The following is a 20,467-nucleotide window of genomic DNA, read 5'->3' on the forward strand; positions in this document are numbered from 1 at the left end:
ATTTAGTTTAACAATAGACAAATATGTCCATAATAATTAACCATATGCCATTTAAAGCAGCAGATGCCCCTTACTTTAAAAGGCCACTGTGTTGCACAGTGTTCATGCCATTTTATTGCAGTTATTTGCTTTCATGTTCATTTCTCATCAGACTGTAAGATTTGCAAGGGCTGGCACAGAATAGAGTTCCAGTAAATATTTGTTTAAATAACAAGGAATGAATGAGTACACGTGGAGTCAGAACTTCATGGCTGGGCGTAGTGGCACATGCTTGTAGTCCCAGCAACTCTGGAGGCTGAGGTGAGAGGATGTCTTGAGCCCAAAAGTTCAAGACCAAACTTGGCAACAACAGAGTGACAGTTTGTCTCTTAAATAAGAAAACAAAAAACAAACGAACTTCACGACTAGCATTCACGTTCAGATTTACAGTAACTCCCCAGGACAGAAATAAAGTAAAATGCAAACTCTAACAAATTTTATCAAAATTGGCTGTAAGATGATATGTCATTTTGAATATCACCGCACAACTATTTTTATTATAATAATCAATAGCTAATATAGTGTATAGATATCCATATATGTATATTTGTATACACATATAAGTACATTAAATTATCAACATATACATTTATAATAAACTAGTCAATATGCAATGAAAACTATATTTTAATTATATCTGCCTATTTAAAATTTATTAAATGCATATTTTGTGCCAGGTACTAAATCACTTTAAATTATCTCATTTAATTCTCCCAATAACCCTAAGATATTTTTATACCTATTTTAGAAGTGGTTTAGATAGACACAGACATTTTAGAATTAGACATATAAACAGGTTTATAGATGTTTAAAATGAACATTCAGTTATCTAAATATTGACACTGAAGACCCTATATAGTCTGGTTGTGTGTGTATACACACATACATATTTAATATTTACACAGTTTATATTTCACATAGAACATATTTGCATGCACAGATATAGCTAACTTTCTCCTTATTTAAACACTGAAAGTTTTGTATCTTTTTCTATTTCAATTTTTATTTTTAGTTCTGGGGTACATGTGCAAGATGTGCAGGTTTGTTACATAGGTAAACAAAAGTTGTGTATTTTTAATCAAGACACTAGTGGCTAAAAATGGAAACAGAAGAGTCAACTTTGTCTTTTAGCTAGGTAGTTTGTTTCTTTGAGACAGAGTCTCGCTCTGTCACCCAGGCTGGAGTGCAGTGGCATGATCTGGGCTCGCTGCAACCTCTGCCTCCTGGGTTCAAGAGATTCTCCTGCCTCAACCTCCCAAGTAGCCGAGATTACAGTTGCCTGCCACCACACCTAGCTATTTTTGTATTTTTAGTAAAGACGAGGTTTCGCCATGTTGGGCAGGCTGGTCTCGAACTCCTGACCTCAGGTGATCCACCCACTTTGGCCTCCCAAAGTGCTGGGATTACAGGCATGAGCCACCATGCCTGGCCAAAGTCAACATTTTTATATCTCTCTTCACATAATGCAAATAACAAAATGAAAGATCACTTCTACTCAATTTCACCCACCTCTGTAAGACAAGACAAAGTTTCCTGTTATGCATCAAGGCGTATGAAATAAGCATTTCCTACTGCCAATAAATTAAGAGACCTCAACTCGGACCATAGTCACTTGCTAGGGACAATAAGGGTAAACATCACTTGTTATAAAAAGTTGCTAATCAAATGCAATAGTAATGTTTAAAGTACTATACAAATAACATTTATTTTTTTATTATTGCTGTACATTTGTTCTTCTCATTGTTTTGGAAGTTGCTTATTCATCAACTGCAATTCTTCAGAATGTGGCCAAGAACAAGTAAAAGATTAAAAAGCCAAAACAGTGAAAATAAAATTTTCCAAGTTCATGAACTAAATATCATCCCTCCTCTCATGGGAGATTTTTTAGGTGCCATTTCTCAGAGACTGTTTACTCCTAATACAGACAGGATTCTCACTAGTTTCATCACATCTTGCCTGGACTACTGCAGACGCTTTCTGTTTTCTCTGCCTCGATTCTTTCCTACTTCCAAGCCATTCTTCACATGAAGATCTATCATATTATTCAGAAGCTTAAACTTTCCGTTGGCTTGCCATTTTCTATTGGATAAAGTCTGGAATATTTTACATGCTTTAGAAGCCCATGGTTGATTGAGCTCCTGGCTATCTTTCTAGCTTCCTCAACTAGATTTTTTGTTTTTCAGTCTTTAGCTACACTAGACTTTTAAAAATCCCTTTATTTTAATGCCTCCCACTCTGGAATCAGGACCTTTAAATATACTGTTGCATCGACTTGTAATGCTCATTCTCTTTGCCTTGCTGATGCCCACTCATTTTATAGATTTCCACTTAACAATCAATTCCTTATGAAGGCCTATCTTGTGTCCTACATGAGTGGGGTTTGTCCATAAGTATAGCAACTGCGATGGCTCAGTCACAGCATAGATCACATTTAAATTTATAGTTATTTAACTGGCATTATGTCATCAATGCTTACTTCTGCTAAATCAAAATCCTCAAGAAAAATCATTTTGTTTTGGTCGCTAATCTACCAAAACAATATATGCTCTCTTAGAGCATAGTATATAGCACATTCAATAAATACTGTTAATCAGCTGATCAAATACAGTTATTTAGAAAAGGCAAGATAGAGATCCTAGACGCAGAGAGCTGATATTTTGATGCAAATGATACAAAAACAGTATTTTTTTAAAAAAGACAAAAATAAAAGTCTTAGTAATCTGGATTAAGAAAAATCCTCATACTTCAATTGTTCTAAGAGCTTCCTATATCATAGTCTAGTACAAGAAACAATATTACAATGACAAGGACCTTGAGTGAACAATGACATGTTTAAAAGCATTTAGTATTCATTTTTAAATAAGCAAGAGTTTTAAAAATAATTGTAAAGTGATTTTCATTACTTTAATTGTTAAAACATAGGACTGGTATTTGAAGGGGTAATGTTCACTTGGTCTGAAGATTAATTTATATGTTATGCCTTATCTAACAATATTAGGTATATGAATAATAAGAGCTAACACTGTCTGCCTGTAAGTGGTAGACATCCTTCTAAGTACTTCACATTTATACTCTTATTTAAGCCTCACGAAAACTCTAGAAGATACACATTACTCACTACACTCATCTTATATATGAACAAAGTGAGGCACAGAGGGTTCTAAGGTACTTCCCCAAGGTCATACAGTTAACAAGTACAGGAGACACGATTCAAAATAAAGCTGTCTGATCTGGAAGCAGCTCTTTTTAACACCTGCTAAGCAGCAGTATTTAAGGGTCCCCAAAGAACATACTTTGTTTAACCAAAGTTTTTTTTGTCAGCTAGAATTAAAGTTCATCTAACAATGCAAGGCACAATGCTAATCATTTTGTAGAATTCTCTCATTTAGTCTTCAGAACAGTCTTGTAAGGTACGTATTATCACTATTTCCAATTTATAAGTAGTTACATTAAGACTTAAGAGGTTAAGTTCCCAAAGTCAAGTAGCAGAGTCAAAACCCCGAGCCCCAGATCCACTGACTGAGCTCTTAATTACAAGAGTTCACCTATCTAGTAAGAGAAGGATGTTTTACACAAGCTCTACCTCAGTGCTACTGACTATTTGGAATGGATAAAACTCAGACCAGGCTCATGTCTGCAATCCCAGCATTTTGGGAGGCAAAGGTAAGAAGATCACTGGAGCCTAGGAGTTCTAGAGCAGCCTGGGTGACATAGTGAGACCCCATCTCTACCAAAAAATTTTGAAAATTGGCCAGATATGTTGGCACACGCATGTGGTCCCAGCTAGTTAGGAGGCTGAGATGGGAGGATCACTTGAGCCCAGGAGGTCAAGGCTGCAGCGAGCCATGACTGTGCCACTGCACTCCAGCCTGGCCAACAGAGAGAAACCCTGTCTTAAAACAAACAAAAAACCTTACTTGTAGGGGCTACACTGTGCATTAGAGGGTGTTTAGCACATCCCTAGTTTCTATCCATAAGGTGCCAGTCTAAAATCAAAAGCCTAAAATCAAAACTTTTTTTAGACTTTGCCCAATGCCCTATAGGTAGAGACACAAGGTTTCTCCCCATTGAGAACCACCGTACTAAGTAGCAGATTTTTTCTTTGGATACTTTTGGATGAAAACTAAACACATTTCCACTGCTTTATCTCTGTTTCCAATTACCCTGATTGCAGCACTTTTGTTAAAATAGACTATCTTCATGCAAGTTAAAAAACAGAATTTAAGCAGCAATTTCCTTAGTTATAATTTGGTTTTGTGGATTATCCACACATTTAGAAATCATTTAACTATCTTGTGGCAGGACAATTCTTGGCTAACTTTGAAAGATCAGACAGATATAATAGTCCTTGTCTCACACAATTATGCAGATTAAACAAAAATATGCTTGTAAAACATTTAGCCCAATAGCTGGATTATAATGAATGCCCAATTAATGTTTTTGATTATATTATTAGCATAACTATTATTTGTGTAATTTTCACAGATTACTTTTCTAGTTTATCTTCAAATTTCCAGAAACTATCATACTTCCTCTCCAGATTTACTGAAAACATTTACTTAGAGGTCATAATATGTGTCTAAATGTCAAAGCAAACTTATTATATGGATATAACCTTAAAGTCGATGGGAGTTGAGAATCAAGGCACAGTGACAAATTGTTGAAAGAAAATATTTGACAGTAAAAGCTCAAATACCTAAGTGTATGGATAAGGCATATTCCAGTTATAAATAAGATACAAGTCGTGAAAAGTGTTTTCACTATAAGAAAAACTTTCAAAAAATGGTTCAGGTTTTATTCTTCCCTCCATACATATCAACATGACACTCATTAATTGTGTAGCTCTTTACCAATTATCTTTTAATACAAAAGTATTAACAGAAACATATGTACCAAACCCAAGAAGAAAATATCTAGAATCTCTAGTGTGATACAATCTTCAACCCAATTCCATGGATCTGTTCATTCTCTCAAACCTAAATATATTTGCATGGCCTTATTATTATTATTATTTGTATTCTTATTTTTACTCAATTGCCTATGCTTTGCTGCTTTATATGGCCAGTGCCAGAACTCTATCTCAATATTTGCCCAGGCCAGTAATAAATGCTGAGACATTATAAAGAACAAGTGCCCAACAGAGAAAGAGCTACCAGGGTGCGCAGCTTCATTCTGCCAGTCACGGCTCACAGTGGGCATGGAAAATCCTCTTCAGCCTATGAAAAAAAAAAACAGCTACCACAAGGCCACTGCTCCAGGAAAAAAGCTCTAAGACCCAGATTTGGTTTCTAAACATATTTTGACCTCTAATATTTAAGAAAACAAAGCAAACAGCATGAACACAAAAGACAGACGTTTTTAAGTCTCAAGTCAATTATTTCAGATGAAAAAGGAACTCTCTAAAGAGAACAGCAGCTGCTGGCTTAAGGAGCTATAGGTCCTATCAAATTGTAATATAGCCCTAACTACTCCTCTGTAATTATTATTTTCCTCATATGACTGCATAGTTCCCATGGAAGCAAATAACTTTTAAAGATTCAATCTTTGTTCTTCCAAGAGCTTATGATATATCAGTAGAACTAACTGGTATCTGTTAATTCTTTATTTCATGGGCATAGAGAAACCTATACATTCCAGCACCCTCCTCACCACCACCTTCACAGTTAGGTGGGGCCAGATGACTTGTTTTGACAAAAGGATTATGAACAGAATATAGTGTGTCGCTTCTAGGGAAAGGCAGAAAAAAGGTCCCTGAGGCACCCCCCTCCCCCAGCTCTCTTTTTCCCTGTAATAGCAATATGGAAGCCACATGTTGGAATGGCAAAGCCATTAACATAGAAGCAGATTAGCCCCTTGACACAGGACTTGAGAGGGAGCTGCCCTGGAGAACAGCAAGGCCCACAGTAGACTCTGCATACACAGAAAAATAAATGTTTGTCGTGTTAATCCACCAAGACTTCAAGGTTTATATATTATCACAGCGGAGTTCAGACTGTCCTGACAAATGTGTCTCCTAACACAGATTCTAGTATGAAGTAAGTGCTTAATATGTAGCTCTTTAAAAACAAATGTGCAGAGCTGAGAACACCATTTACTAGTAACACAGAAGTTGAGATATGGATTACAAAGAAAAAAACACAGTCATCTTGATTTATATTAAAAAGCAATTTCTGCATATTAAGCATGAGCAGACTATATATCAACCTACTAAATAGCTCAGGGTGTACTCATCACAAGTCCATATTGCTGACTAAGGCACAGACAGGTCATAGTCACATAAAAATATTATTGCCACCATAAAGCAGCCCATATATGTTAGGTCCAAAGTGAATGAAAAGTGCAATCTAGTTGGAAGGGAGTGGATCTGTAACTTTTACCCAATTCTCATCTTTCTTCTGCCTTTTACCTAAATTGCTTATCTTGGCATAGTATAAGCTACTTTGTGAAAAAGAGAGGTCAGCACTTTCACTGCAGTTATCAGCCTGGTGGTACAGAGCATTAGAGGTCCAGAGTCTTGCCTCAGCTCTGCTGGGCAGTGCCTGCATGACTTGGACCTCTGATTAGAATCTTTCTTACTCTCTATTTGTCCACTGATAAAGTGAACCCAATGACAACCCTAAGACAAGGTCGCGGTATGGATTAAGTAGCATTGTGTATATAAAGAATCTGGCAAAGTGTTTGGTATACGTTGGCACCCAATAAATGTTTGTTTAATTTCCTCATTCCCTTTCTCTTATTCTGCCACCCTTCATTCTATCTTCCTCCATATTTCCTTTCAATATCTTGTTTAGTTGTTTACTTGTTTTTAAACTAAAAAATGAAGATAAATGCTAGATAATCGTGAAAACCCTGATAAGTATGAAATATCTATGCCCTTGAAGTTTGAGTATTGCCTGGAATTTGGATTTGGCAGTCTGATTTGACAAAAATCAAAATAATATCACGATATCCTATACCACCGAAGTTGGAGCATGAGAAGGAACGGAGAGAAGTGAAAGAAGGATAAGCAACAGCACAAATGAGAAGGGCTGCAAAGTGATCTGCAAACAGCCACCGCTGAAAAGAGTTTACAAAAAATTCAGAGTCACATAGACTTAAATTAACACTGTGCACTTCCTGGATTTGAATTAATTCGGATATATTGACAACAAACTCAGCACAAATGGTACACTGCTTTGTTCAGTGGAACTCAAAGGGATCCAAAATTTGTACGGCAGCACAGGTTTCACGCTATTGGTGTTCTTAAGAGAATATCTTCCAAGGGTAGGCAACAAAAGAGATGGGAGTGATATCTGCAAATCACTTCTTGTCTCTTTAAGTCCATCTCAGCCAACACAATCAATATCCAGTAAAAACAAATACCCCACACTGTAATTCCTCAACAGAGCCCTGCTCTAGCCACTGTTTCCTGACATGTTCTTAAATATCTGTAAGTTTTGAATGTATTTCAGTTTCTGACTTTGGCCCCAAACCTGCTTTTCAATTGGATAATGGCTAATGTTCTTTGGCTATCCTCATTTCTGTCTACATTTGATCCTCAGGTTGCTTTGACTTTGGTAATACCAGATAATACCACAGCCCCGTTCTGTTTAGGCAACAGCACCATCCAGGACAATCAGAATTCAGAGGAGCCTAGCAGAATCATTTTTTAAAAAATGGCTAAGCACAGCATATCAAAGGAAAGATATAAAACATTTCTTCTTTATGACCAGCCAATACTCCAGTGTAACTTTCATGGAAAACACTTATTTGAAAGAAAATTGTAAATTCACCTAAGTTAGAGATAAGAAAATTTTTATCACATGAGTTTAAGAGTTGCAAAGAAGGAACATCTAATGTATAAAAGAGTTAATATAGAAATAGATTTTAAAGAGGTTTCAGAATCATTTTTCTTCTCCCCTATCTTATTCATATACCTGCTGAAAGGCTGTATTTTATTTGCTAAGGAGGTATGTTTATATAAAAGGTGATTTTCCCTCCTGCACAGTCCAGAGAACTAGGCCCAGTAGAAAAATAAATCAACAGTTGATAAATGCAGAAAAACACTGCCTTAAAATGTTATCCATTATCGGTAACAGTCCCATACAAGACCTAGGGTATAAGCTGAATTCCAAAGAACGACATTTAAATTTCAACATGGTACTACTTAAATTACTCTAACCTATGTCTCTGCTTTTGCTCTCTGTTTACAAACCTACAACATGACAAAGACTTGGTCTCAGTATTTGCTGTCTCTATGTGCAAATAACCATGTTCTAAATCCTTACTCAAAGTCTTCTTCCTTTACAATGTCTTCCTAACTCCCCAGCAGAACTGATTTCAATTTCTTTCAGCTCTCTAAGCATATTTTCCCCCAAATCTAGTGTTTTTAAGCTCAAACTGCCTTATATTTGGTTATTTTTCATGTCCGTATCCTCTATAGGTAAACTGACAGTACTTGGAACCTATCTTCTTTTTTGATCCTCATGTCCCTCAGAGTGCCTCGTCCACTACTTTGTAACCTACTAACCAGTGTATGTTTGTTAAATTGAACTTAAAATATGAAAAGAGGGGGAAATCTCACATGGCTTCTTCCTGTTCATACTTGTATTAGGAAACTGAAGGGTCCAAGCTAATGTAAATGTGCAATATGTGAAGGAAAAAGATAGTTAAGACAACCAATCACATATCCAAGATTCTTAATGCAGCATTCAGAGACCTCTATTAGATAAGGCCTTGTAAAGAGACAAAAACCAACTCTTCTCCCTTAGTAATGGATAGACTGTCTCTCTAGATCCTGTTTATTCCTAATTCTGTTAAATTTAAACTCCTACCTTGCTGCTATCAGCCAGAAACCCCAGCCAAACAGTAAAAGCCGAATGTTTTCTCAACACTTAATAATAAACCCAGAAAGGGTAGAAAGCTTTTTTATGGTATAGCAAGATGGGTGTTAGCCAGGCTGGATGATACTGCCTTGGCATATAAACCCCAACAAATGTTTCTTCTTGAAAAGATACTCAGTTGACCCTTAATCTGAAGACATAAAACCTTCCTACACAAAGTGTTAAAGACCAGCAGCATCAGCATCACGTGCGAGCTTTTAAGAAATGCAGAATCTCAGAACGCACCCCCAGACAACCTGAATCGGAACTGGCATTTTAACATTATCTCCAAGTGACTCATACATAGGTAACATTTTTAAGAAGCGTGGATACTGGATATTCTGGCATCAATATTTCATTTGCTTCCTGGCAGTCTCTTTGCTCTAAACCATAACTTTATTAAAAAAAACTATTTGCTTTTCGCACCCTGTCCTCTAACATTCCATGTCTTTCCAGGCATCCATTTGTTTTAAAATGTAACACAAAAAGAAAAAAGATTTCTCCAGTGTATAGAATGTATACCTTTCATTCACATTATATCATTAGATCCTTATGGTATTCCTGTGAATATCATCATGTATAACTTGTTACATGTCACTTATGTAAATAAATATCTGAGAACCTCCATGTCTAATGGTTTGAAGACGCAGACAGCTTCCGTCTATAGTCAACCAACACTCCAACCTCAGGATTAGAGAATTCTGATTGCATTATCCATGAAGCCCAGAACTTAAAAGCCCAGTCCTATCTTACTCTTGAATCTTTTGCCTTTTCAACTACCATAACCCAGTTTCTCCCACACAGAGACACTAAACATGCACACTCTTGATGAAAGCTTTTTTAGTGGCCATTACATAATGGATTTGCTGTCAGTTTGTCTAAAATGTGCCTGCTGAAGAAATGAAAAAGAAAAACCTAATCTATGCTTATAAGTGATGGAGTTTTCAACTAACTAAAACCTATATGGGCATTTCTGTCCTCTACAGTATGACTTTTTAATTGGCCTTAGTCATTTATGTGATCTGAACATTTTTAGTAATGAGTAACACAATATAGGTAATAATATTAAATATATATTATAGTTTCATTAAGAAAGCATTTATAGTGTTAGGATGTTTATAGTTTTAGAATGTAATATAGGAAATTGTCAACCATTTTCAAAACCAGAGCACATTTTCAAAGTGTTTAGCCTAATTCTAGGCCACATTCTAAAGTAAATATCTCTACACAATGCAAAATATTAACTAAAACTTTAGGCTTCATCAAAATGTCTCAACGCTGTTGTTTAGGCATAAAAATATGTTACTTTTATAAAAGCCTTTTGGTTATGAAATAATGGACAGGTGTCTAAAATTTAAAAATCGTCTGGGTAACTTAATTCTAGTACTTAGGGAGGCTGAGGGGGAAGAATTGCTTGAAGCCTGGAGTTCTAATTGCTTGAGGCAGGAGTGCCTGCAAAACATAGCAAGAGCCCTGTCTCTATGAAAAAATAAAAAGTTAGCCAGGCATGGTAGTGCACACCCGTGGTGCTAGCTACTCGGGAGGCTGAGATGGGAGGACTGCTTGAACCCAGGAGCTGGAGACTGCAGTGAGCTATAATGGCACCACTGCACTTCAGCCTTGGCAACACAACAAAACCCTGTCTCAGAGAAATGAATAAATAAATAAATAAATAACAGAAGTAGAGTATTAGAACAAAAAAACCTTTAAAAGATTATCTAAGCCTATCCCTCATTCCATTTTTTATATTTGGAAGGAAAAGCCCAGAAGCCACACAACTTACCAGAAGTTCCACTGTTGTCTGTCACTGTCTAGCTGAGTAACTCTGGCCAGTCCCTTCTTTCTCACTCTCAGTTTCTTGCTCTGCAAAATGAGGTGATTGAAACTAGATGATGTAAGAGTCCCATACAGCCTGAAAATGCCATTTTTCTGCAAGGCTAGAAACCACATCTGAAAACATTTCCTCTCCAAAAGCAACACACAAGAAGATGAAAAGATTTTTAAATGGCACTTGGCACTATTGATGTTCCAACTCATTGATACTATAATCTCAGCTTGATACTTTAGAACCACATAGGTTGCTAGTATCCACCACAGACAAGCAAAGCAGAAGAGAAAGGCTGTTGGCATGCTCTTTGCCTGAGAAGTGTTGCAACTGAAAATCAGACCAGAGAGAGAGTAAATCATCTCCTCCCCCTTCTGAGGATCTGGTGACTCCTTCTGTCTGGGCCCTGCTTCAGGAATTTCTCCTAGAGAAATTTTTCACTGGGGAGCTGGGAGTCCAGCCCTTGACTGGACCCCAGACAAGGATGCATTTCCTCCTGGAAGGCTCCTTGCCTGGACAAGTCCTTCAAAATCAACCTAAAAAGGAACTCCAGTCTCCAGCGAGCTGTACATTTTAGCATCTTTTAATCAGCCGTCTGGACTTCTCTGGTGTTTTTGGAAATGTTTTTTTTCTTATTGCATTACAATTTTATTATGTTAATACACAAAGAGTTGGTATGCATAATTTTAAAAGGCAAATTCAGCCGTTGAATGAAGAGTGTGTGATGATCACGGCTCATGCTTTAACTACATTTACTTATCTTCCTTTCTTCATTCTTGTATGGGACAGTATCTTTGAAATGGCTTTTGTTTATTTTTTAAATGAGTTTTATGTTTTTCCCCTTTTCTCCTTTTCATTATTACTGCTTTCTAGCAGAAAATCAGAAAGTCGGGGAATGGTTTAAGTTTATAAAATCTGAGAGATCATCTGGACTTAAACCCAATTTCATTAAATGGTTTAGGAGATGTAAATGTAATAACAAGGCAGTATCCAGATATCATGTATGTAAAAGTGGGTACTGCCAAAGTCCCTAGTAATTAAGCCAATCATTAAATCAGAGGTTAATGGATTCGGTTCATTTTTATGACATACACAAGTGAACCTGAAACACTGGGTCCTATTAGCATTTAATATATAAAGAAAGCTAGTGTCTGTACCTAAATAATTGCAAACACAATGTGGTCAACACAGAGGATACAAATTCTAGAAAAAAGTGTATCATCCAAAAAAAAACAATTCTGTTATCAGTAGCATCATTATTATTGTCATCTATTATGACAAGCTTGAACAACCCAAGTGTTCATCAAAGAAGCAATTCAATAGAATGTTTTCGGCATGCTCTTAACTAAAAAGAGAATATGGAATGAGAAGAGTAAAAATAAGATTTTTTATTCCAGTCTGAAAAAAAATATTCTTTGAAGCTCCTCATGGTATGCATGACAAATAAACATACATTTCTTGCTTTCTGCAACCAAATAACTGTATGTGCCTTTGCAATTAATTAATGTTGTCTCCAATATTTCTAGAAAATTAATGTCAAATTCATTTGAATGTGGCTTCTGGAATAACAGGACCTCTGGTCCATTTCCTGTATGGTAATGTAATGACAGCAAGATACCCTTTTAAGTTTTATGTGTTCAAATTGGTTTAAAAAGGTAAATTTCTACACTATAATTAATGTATACCAACAATTTTCAAGCAATTTTAGCAGTGGAGCTCTTCTTTGAAAGAACATCTTGGGCCCAACATAAGCTAAGGCGCTTTAAATGTCTATCACTGGCTAAGAATATACTTTATATTTTGTGGAACTCACCAAGTACCTTCCTAGAATTTGAAAGGTAGGTAGAAAACTATTCTTCAAATTCATACATCTCATATTATTGATGAGAAAACTGAGGCTACAAAAGAAGAAGTGATATGAGTATGTCTCACAACTAGTTAGTGACAAAAGTTAGAATTCGTGACTCATTCATTTATTCAACTGATGTTTATTGAGAACCCTCCATTTACTCATTTTGTGCTAGGTTTCCTATGTATATCACTTTTTTAATTGATCACTTAAATTTTATATAATTTTGTTATTATTTTATTTAATCATTTCCTAGACATACGGAAAAAACTTATATCTTTTTTTTTTTTTTTTTTTTGAGACAGAGTCTCACTCTGTCTCCCAGGCTGAAGTGCAATGGCGTGAACTTGGCTTGCTACATCCTCTTCCTCTCAGCTTCAAGTGATTCTCCTGCCTCAGCTCTTGAGTAGCTGGGATTATAGGCTCCTGCCACCACACCTGGGTATTTTTTTTTTTTTTTTTGGATTTTTGGTAGAGACGGAGTTTCACCATGTTGGCCAGGCTGGTTTTGAACTCCTGACTTCAAGTGATCCACCTGCCTCAGCCTCCCAAAGTGCTAGGATTACAGGCATGAGCCACAGCTCCCAGCCAAAACTTATATCTATTAACCAATCATCACATCTGTGTTCATCATGTCTCATGTGTAAAGAACTAAGAATGTGTTAGAAAAAGGCAAGCGAACCTAGAAGTTTATAGTCTGTTTAAGTAGTGGAGATGCACAAACAAGAAATTTGCTTTAAAGAGCTAGGATGACATTTAAGTGCTGAGTATAATACAGCAATGAATATGTTGGCCTCAGAAACTTATACCCCAAAATTTGGCACTTTGACATGCTGAACTGAAGAAGAAGCCTCAAGATCTCTCTGAGAACCCCCACTTCAGCCCCCCATCTGAGCTCTCAGTCTCTCAATCCTCTGTGTCCTCTCTCTCCCAAAGCACAGGATAAAGTTGTTCTCTGAAGTTTCCTTATCTAAAGCCCAGATCCACCAAATAAGGTCCCTTTCCTGAATTTTCATTAACTGAACTCCTATGGTAGGAAGAAGGGCAAGTCTGTCAATACACCTGGATAGACTTTCGCCACAAACCATTGTCTGCTCTGCAGCCCAAGAGACTTTGTTCCAGGCCATTTTATGTTCTTCAAGCCCACTAAATTTTCCTAATAATCATTTACTCCCTTCAAAGTCATCCACACTTCCTTATGTCCCTTTACGTGGTAGGGTAATTGCTGTGGTTCTCTCCCATGCATGTTAATAAACTCGTATGCCTTCTCACTTATTAACCTGTGTTTTTTGAGTTGATTTTCAGCAGTGGGCTAAGGGGAAGGTTTTTTTTTTGGCCCTGAAGTACACGTTATGTAAAGAGAGATTCTTAAAAAGAGAGAGCTCATTGAGACTGACTTTAAGTATTTGAATAAGCTTCAAGGAACAGATAAAATTTGACTTTAAAGTATTTATTATTACCACTTATATTGTACTAAAGACAGTGGCATATTCCATGGCATCTGGATTGCTATAACTGTATAAATAGACTTTTTCCAATTAATAGCTCATAAAAAACTAGGACAAAATTGCATTATTAACATCAATAGGCTCCTAAAGAATTATTCAGCAGTTGAGCAGTTCATTTTTCAGCTACTTTGTTTGTGACCTCTGTTGTAAAAATCCTGATATTTTTCATCCATGAATGAACCCAGCAAGCATTTCAAAATTGACCGGATCTTCATCAGTCTTGGCCATTTCCTGAGACCAACTAGGAATTGTGTTCAAATTCATCTCTTATACAATTTCCTGACTTAATTCTCACCCAAGTCAAAGTTACCTTTCCTTCCTCTAAAGAATGTAACTCTGTACATTTTATTTAAAAACTCTCTTAGATTTTACTCTATTATTTGCATATGTTACTATATTATTTATAAATAAATGCCATTTTTCTCAGCTATGTTAGAAGCCTATGACAATAAAAACCATGGCTTATACTTAAATACAGTGTTTTGCCAAAGAGGCACTTAGTAAACAGTCACTGTTGTAATTTGCTTTTAATGGAAAAGCCCACACATGTTACAGAATCTGTACTAGTCAATGAGTAGGTGCTGACAGCCTACAACTTGTGGCTTTTGATGATTTATTGATACGATCCTCAAATCCTAGGACCTTACCTGTGATGCATTCTAATGGTTTTCTAGTCTGTATTATTCCATTTCAATCTAATTCATTAAACAAAATTATAGGTTCACTCAATGATAAAATTGATTTTATCATCATCTCTGGCGGCATGAATTCAATCAAATTATTAATCTATTCTAAGGATTATTTTATTTACTTGTAGAATATAGATAACAATATTATCTCTTTCATAGGATTGCTTTTAGTATTAAATAAAATGCTACCACTAGCATTGTGCTTGGGGCTTAGTGTTCAATAAAGGCATACTATTTTTATAGATATTATTATTTTAATTATTTCCACCATTATATTAGTATTATAAATTCAACTTTAGGTATTTGAGAACTGTTAATTTATGTTAAAATTCTTAGATACATGATACATATTGTTAAAGTCCTAACTTTTTTTTTTTTTTTTTGAGATGGAGTTTTTGCTCTTGTTGCCCAGGCTGGAGTGCAGTGGTGTAATCTCAGCTCACTGCAACCTCTGCCTCCTGGGTTCAAGTGATTTTCCTGCCTCAGCCTCCCAAGTAGCTGGGACTACAGGTGTCCGCCACCACACCTGGCTAATTTTTATATTTTTAGTAGAGACAGGGTTTCACCATGTTGGCCAGGCTGGTCTTGAACTCCTGAAATCAGGTGATACACCTGCCTCAGCCTCCAAAAGTGCTGCGATTACAGGCATAAGCCACCATGCCCAGCCCTAAAGTCCTAACTTTTTATCAAGTGTTATAGGAAAAGAAAAAAGACAATAAGTAGAATTGGTCCATACTCCTTCTAGACATCAAATACTCAACGTTATTTTGTTTTTGGTTCACTCTGCAGACTTTTGATTTAGTACTTCATCTCTGTAGTGATTAAGGACTGTGGAAAATGATAACATGGCATTTCATTTAGATGCTTCTTTGAGGTGACATACATGATAGATTCATTCTTCTAACTTAACTGTGATGAAATTCATCTCATCTTCTATTAGCGGCAGAAATATGAACAGAAGCATGTGGTCTCCATCGTCTCCAATATTTGTACCAGAGAAGAAGATATTAACTAAAAGAAAACTGAAATATATCTTCTGTTTTTTTTAATAATTCTGGTTTGAGCCCTCAAATCATTCTATACCCATGAGGTTATAGGTAAAAGCATATTTTTTTCATCTTTCTTAGATTATAAAAGTAGGTAGTTCCTTTATAATACAATTCACTACTGATTTAACTTTAATCTAAAAAATAAGCATTAGAAATAAAAAGTATATGTGTCAGATATATGTTCATATTTCTTCTAGTATTGATGCTCATAGGAAGAAAAAATAATTTGTTTACTATTTTTGCCATGACTTATCAGAAATCTAAGCACGTTCAAACACACCAACAAAGAGAAATAATACCAACTGCTCAGTGGGAGATAAAGTGAGGCTGTTTCCCCCAGGTGGAGTTTATGGTTGCCTTTCAATCACTGAAGAGACTGAATATTTCCTCTATCTAAACTAATCTTGCTTGCTTTCAATCTTACCCACTCAGAGCCTGTAACTCCTTCCTTTTCTCTCTTTTTTTTTTTTTAACTAATTTAAATATGGACCTTTTTAAATCACCATGTCTACTATCGGCATCAACATTTCAAAAGACTTCTCCAGCGCACCCACTGAGTGTACCACACTTGTTTCATTTTGTTAATTGAATGGTTCTTAAACAACCTCATTATCTGCCCACAGCACTTAGCATTTTCCTATTATAAAGCTATCCTTTGCAATGTCTTCTCTGCCTACCAGGAAGGCTAGAATCTTGCTTTTAGTGTCTCCCAACACAGGACTGACCATGGGTCTTTAAACAAACCCCCATGTTTTCAGATCGCAATGGGTTAAGTGAAAAGAACCCATGTTGAGAACTTATTCAAGCCAAGCTATAAAAGGTGTACAATCCTATGACGAGATAACATTATACCCATTTCAAAAAGAAGAAAATGGAAGCAAAATGAGATTCTATCACTTATCAAAAATCACACAGAGAAAGTTTTTGGGGTGGGATTCCCAGAGCCTACACTCCAGGTCATTGCACTGTCAATACTGAACAATCATTGGGTTACTCTCTGCTTTTTGTGTGTGCGTTTTTTGTTGGTTTGTTTTTCTGTCTCTGAGGTCTTTGAAGGTCTTGATATTCTCCGTTGTCCAGATAGAGAGGTCATGTCACCTTCCAGATATTTCTAGCTGTTTAAAGCCCTTTCCCTGAATTCTAGTTCTAGAAAAGTTTGGAAGAATTAGCAGTCATTTGTACATATACTGACTGCATATCTACAAATGACTGTAAGACAACTGAAACTAGGGAGTCTGGAAAGCTTCCTCTCCTTAGCAGAAAATGATGTTATGTCTCTTCTCTAAGGAGGTTTTATATATGCAGCTTAAAATCCACATAAAGAAAAATTCCCATATAGAGTGATGTTAACCTCATTTGTATGTAATCGTGAATCGAGGTATACCACTATAGTAACTGCACACAGTAAAAGCCTTGTGACATGATTACTTTTCTACACTTTCTTATCTTTGCTCCCCTACCTAGGATGCCTCTCTGCCTTTTCATCCTTCCCTGGCTAAAGCAGGCTCATTCTTCTGGGTCAAGTTCCAATGTCATTTCTTCTATAAAGCTTTTTTCAACACCTCTTCACCCTCAGTTCTCTCTCCTTTGAGTTTTCCCAGCACTTTATTCATTCATGTTCCTAAGATAGTACTTATAACAGTGCATTACATATTTCTCACTCTATAGGCTAGATTTTTCAACCTCAGCACTGTTGACTTTTTGGGCTAATTTATTTTTGTAATGCTGCCTTGTGTGTTGTAGAATGTTTGGTAGCATCCATGGTCTCCCTCCACTGGGTAACAGTAGCATCAGGGTAGGTGCAGTGGCTCATGCCTGTAATCCCAGTGCTTTAGGAGGCCAAGGAGGAAGTATCGTTTGAGGCCAAAAGTTTGAGATCATCCCGGGTAACATAGGAAGACCACAGGCATGGTGGTATGACCCCGTAGTCCCAGCAACTTGGGATTCTGAAGCAGGAGGATCACCTGAGCCCAGGAGTTTGAGGCTGCAGTGAGCTAGGATCTTGCACTTACACTGGTCTGGGTGACAGAGTAAGACCCTGTCTTGAAAAATGAAAAAAGAGTAGCACCTCCACTTCAATTGTGAGAATGAAAAATATTTGAGGTAATAGATTCCCAGTTACTCTTATTTGCTCATTACATATTTTACGCATATATCAAATATCACTTGTCCCTCATAAATATGTACAATTATTACATATCAATAAAAAATATGTATTTAGACATTGTCCTCTGAGGAGTAGGTAAAACTGTCCCTAGTTGAAGACCACTGCTTGAGATCAGAGACTACAACGGCAGTGACTGCTTTTTTTCATCCTAAGAGTACCTGATACCCAAGAGTATCAGGCCAGAGCTTGCTGTTATCAGAGTAACAGCAAGCAATTATAATCTCTTGGTTGGAGGCTAGGCGTGGTGGCTCACGCCTGTCATCTCAGCACTTTGGGAGGCGGAGGCCAGTGGATAACTTGAGGTCAGGAGTTCAATACCAGACTGGCCAACATGGTGAAACCCCATCTCTACTAAAAAATACAAAAATTAGCCGGGTGTGGTGGTGGGAGCCTGTAATCCCAGCTACTTGGGAGGCTGAGGCAGGAGAATCTCTTGAACCTGAGAGGCGGAGGTTGCAGTGAGCCGAGATCGCACTACTGCACTCCAGCCTGGCCAGAGAGTGAGACTCCATCTCAAAAAAATAAAAAATAAATAATAATCTCTTGGCTGGAGTTAAATTAGTCTCATTTCCCAATAATAACATACAGAATTATAAAATTCACTGAATTCATACTTCATCCAAATGTGAAACAAAGTGACTATTAAATTAAAGATGGATTCAAAGGTAATGAGATCAAAAATATTTGGATATCAGAAAAAGAAAATTGTATTTTTTGTATATTTAATAAATATTATATATACTACATATAATCATATATGTATATATATGAAATATATTGTATATATGTATGCGTATACACATGCCCACACGAAAAGAATAACCTTTACTGGGAAACTGCATTCAGAAAACTGGATAAAAGTTTTCTGATATCTCTGAATACATCATACTTAATACTTAAGGTCTCTGTTCCCTAAAAAAGGCCAGGACTCTCTCGCTTTTTTTTCCTTCAAAGATCCATTCATAAAAAAAGTGATGCTTATTTTACAATTTCAAAATCAGAGGGAGTTGATAAAATAAAGAGGCACAGACAGTATGATACTGCCTTTTGTTCTGATAAGATATTCATCGCTACCCAATTTAGTGCAGAATAAAGTATAAAAGACAATAAAATTTCAGGACCCTCTAAATTTATTGCGCCAAGGGGCAAGTTAAGCCCTGGAGACTGTCGCATTGCATGTTTGCAACTTCTGCTTCTTAGATTATAGGTTAACTCTTTTCTTCATTGTTCTTGTTCTGTAAATGACTAGGAGAGATCAGAGACCAGACCTCTCCCAATTCTAATCACTGGATCCTTGTTATCGATGAACTACCTTCTTTATTATCTTGTCCCTAACTCAGACCACATGGCACAAAAGACCCCATGACTGTTACATCTTCAGTGTGGAGTATCAAATATAACTTTTGCAAAAGAAAAAGAACACCTTGACTAATCTGACCCTTGTAACTATGCATTAAGCTTTACATAGAAAGATACCGAAATTCTGTTAAGCTTCCCTATGTAATCTTTGTCTATAGATATGATCCCAAATTTCTATACTTCAGAACACTGACTTCTATTCCTTGGAATCTGTGCTTACCGGGCAGCAGTCCTCAAACTTTCTGCTTGAATAAACTCTCTTTAAATTTAATGATAAGCCTGGCATGGTGGCTCATGCCTGTAACCCCAGCACTTTGGGAGGTCAAGTAGGGTGGGTCACTTGAAGTTAGGAGTTTGAGACCAGCCTAACCAACATGGTGAAAACCTGCCTCTACTAAAGATACAAAAATTAGCCAGGCATGGTGGCGGGCGCCTGTAACCCAACTACTCGGGAAGCTGAGGCAGGAGAATCGCTTGAACCCAGGGGAAAGAGGTTGCAGTGAGCCGAGATTGCGCCACTGTACTCCAGCCTGGGTGACAGAGTGAGATTCTGTCTCAAAATTATAATAATAATAATAAAAATTCTGACCCTTTCAATTATTTTAACTTAACAAAAGTCATCTGACATTCCTTATTTCTGTAGACTAGCTAACCACATATTTGGACTGAAGACCAGAACCACTGTGATCTTCATATGAACTTGTGATGACAGATCTTTTCTCGCCTCAGTAGTGAAATGTGCCTGCCTACATTTATCTATTTCCTGAGCTGTGGTTTTAATTAATCAAAGTTATAAAAATGAGATAGAATTGTCTTTTCATGTTTAGGTAGTTTTAAATCCGTGAAAATCTGCTATTCTCACTGGGATGCTCCAAGCAGCAGTAGTACATTTTGCAAGAAACAAATGCATAAACAAGACCAGACCTTCCTAAGCAGTCAGAAAGGAGGTCACTGAGAACCAATGTACATAATCTTTTACCCATTGCAAAGGACCATAATTTTAGTGGTCACTTGCTATTGGTTGCCTCTTTTTAATTTTAGATACATTAATTATGCTTCTCATTATAATACTATGAAATATAGATTATTCTTGCTTCTGTAAAAAGGAGGTAATTAAATAT

General features: G+C 36.6%; 1 protein-coding gene across 25 annotated transcripts in view; it reads right to left on the minus strand.

Annotated features, from left to right (window-relative positions):
• LRRC4C (leucine rich repeat containing 4C) overlaps positions 1-20,467 on the minus strand; it is a 1,345,454-nt gene that overhangs the window by 116,637 nt on the left and 1,208,350 nt on the right. For 12 of the 25 annotated variants that reach the window (XM_017018077.3, XM_017018072.3, XM_017018070.3 and 9 more), the window contains one exon: positions 10,684-10,763. The exons of the other annotated variants lie outside the window; for them this stretch is intronic. The gene's annotated coding sequence lies outside the window, so the exon portion shown is untranslated. The remainder of the gene's footprint in view (positions 1-10,683; positions 10,764-20,467) is intronic. 25 annotated transcript variants of the gene reach the window in all.

The sequence above is a fragment of the Homo sapiens genome, chromosome 11, assembly GCF_000001405.40.
Source record: "Homo sapiens chromosome 11, GRCh38.p14 Primary Assembly".
Lineage (NCBI taxonomy): Eukaryota > Metazoa > Chordata > Mammalia > Primates > Hominidae > Homo > Homo sapiens.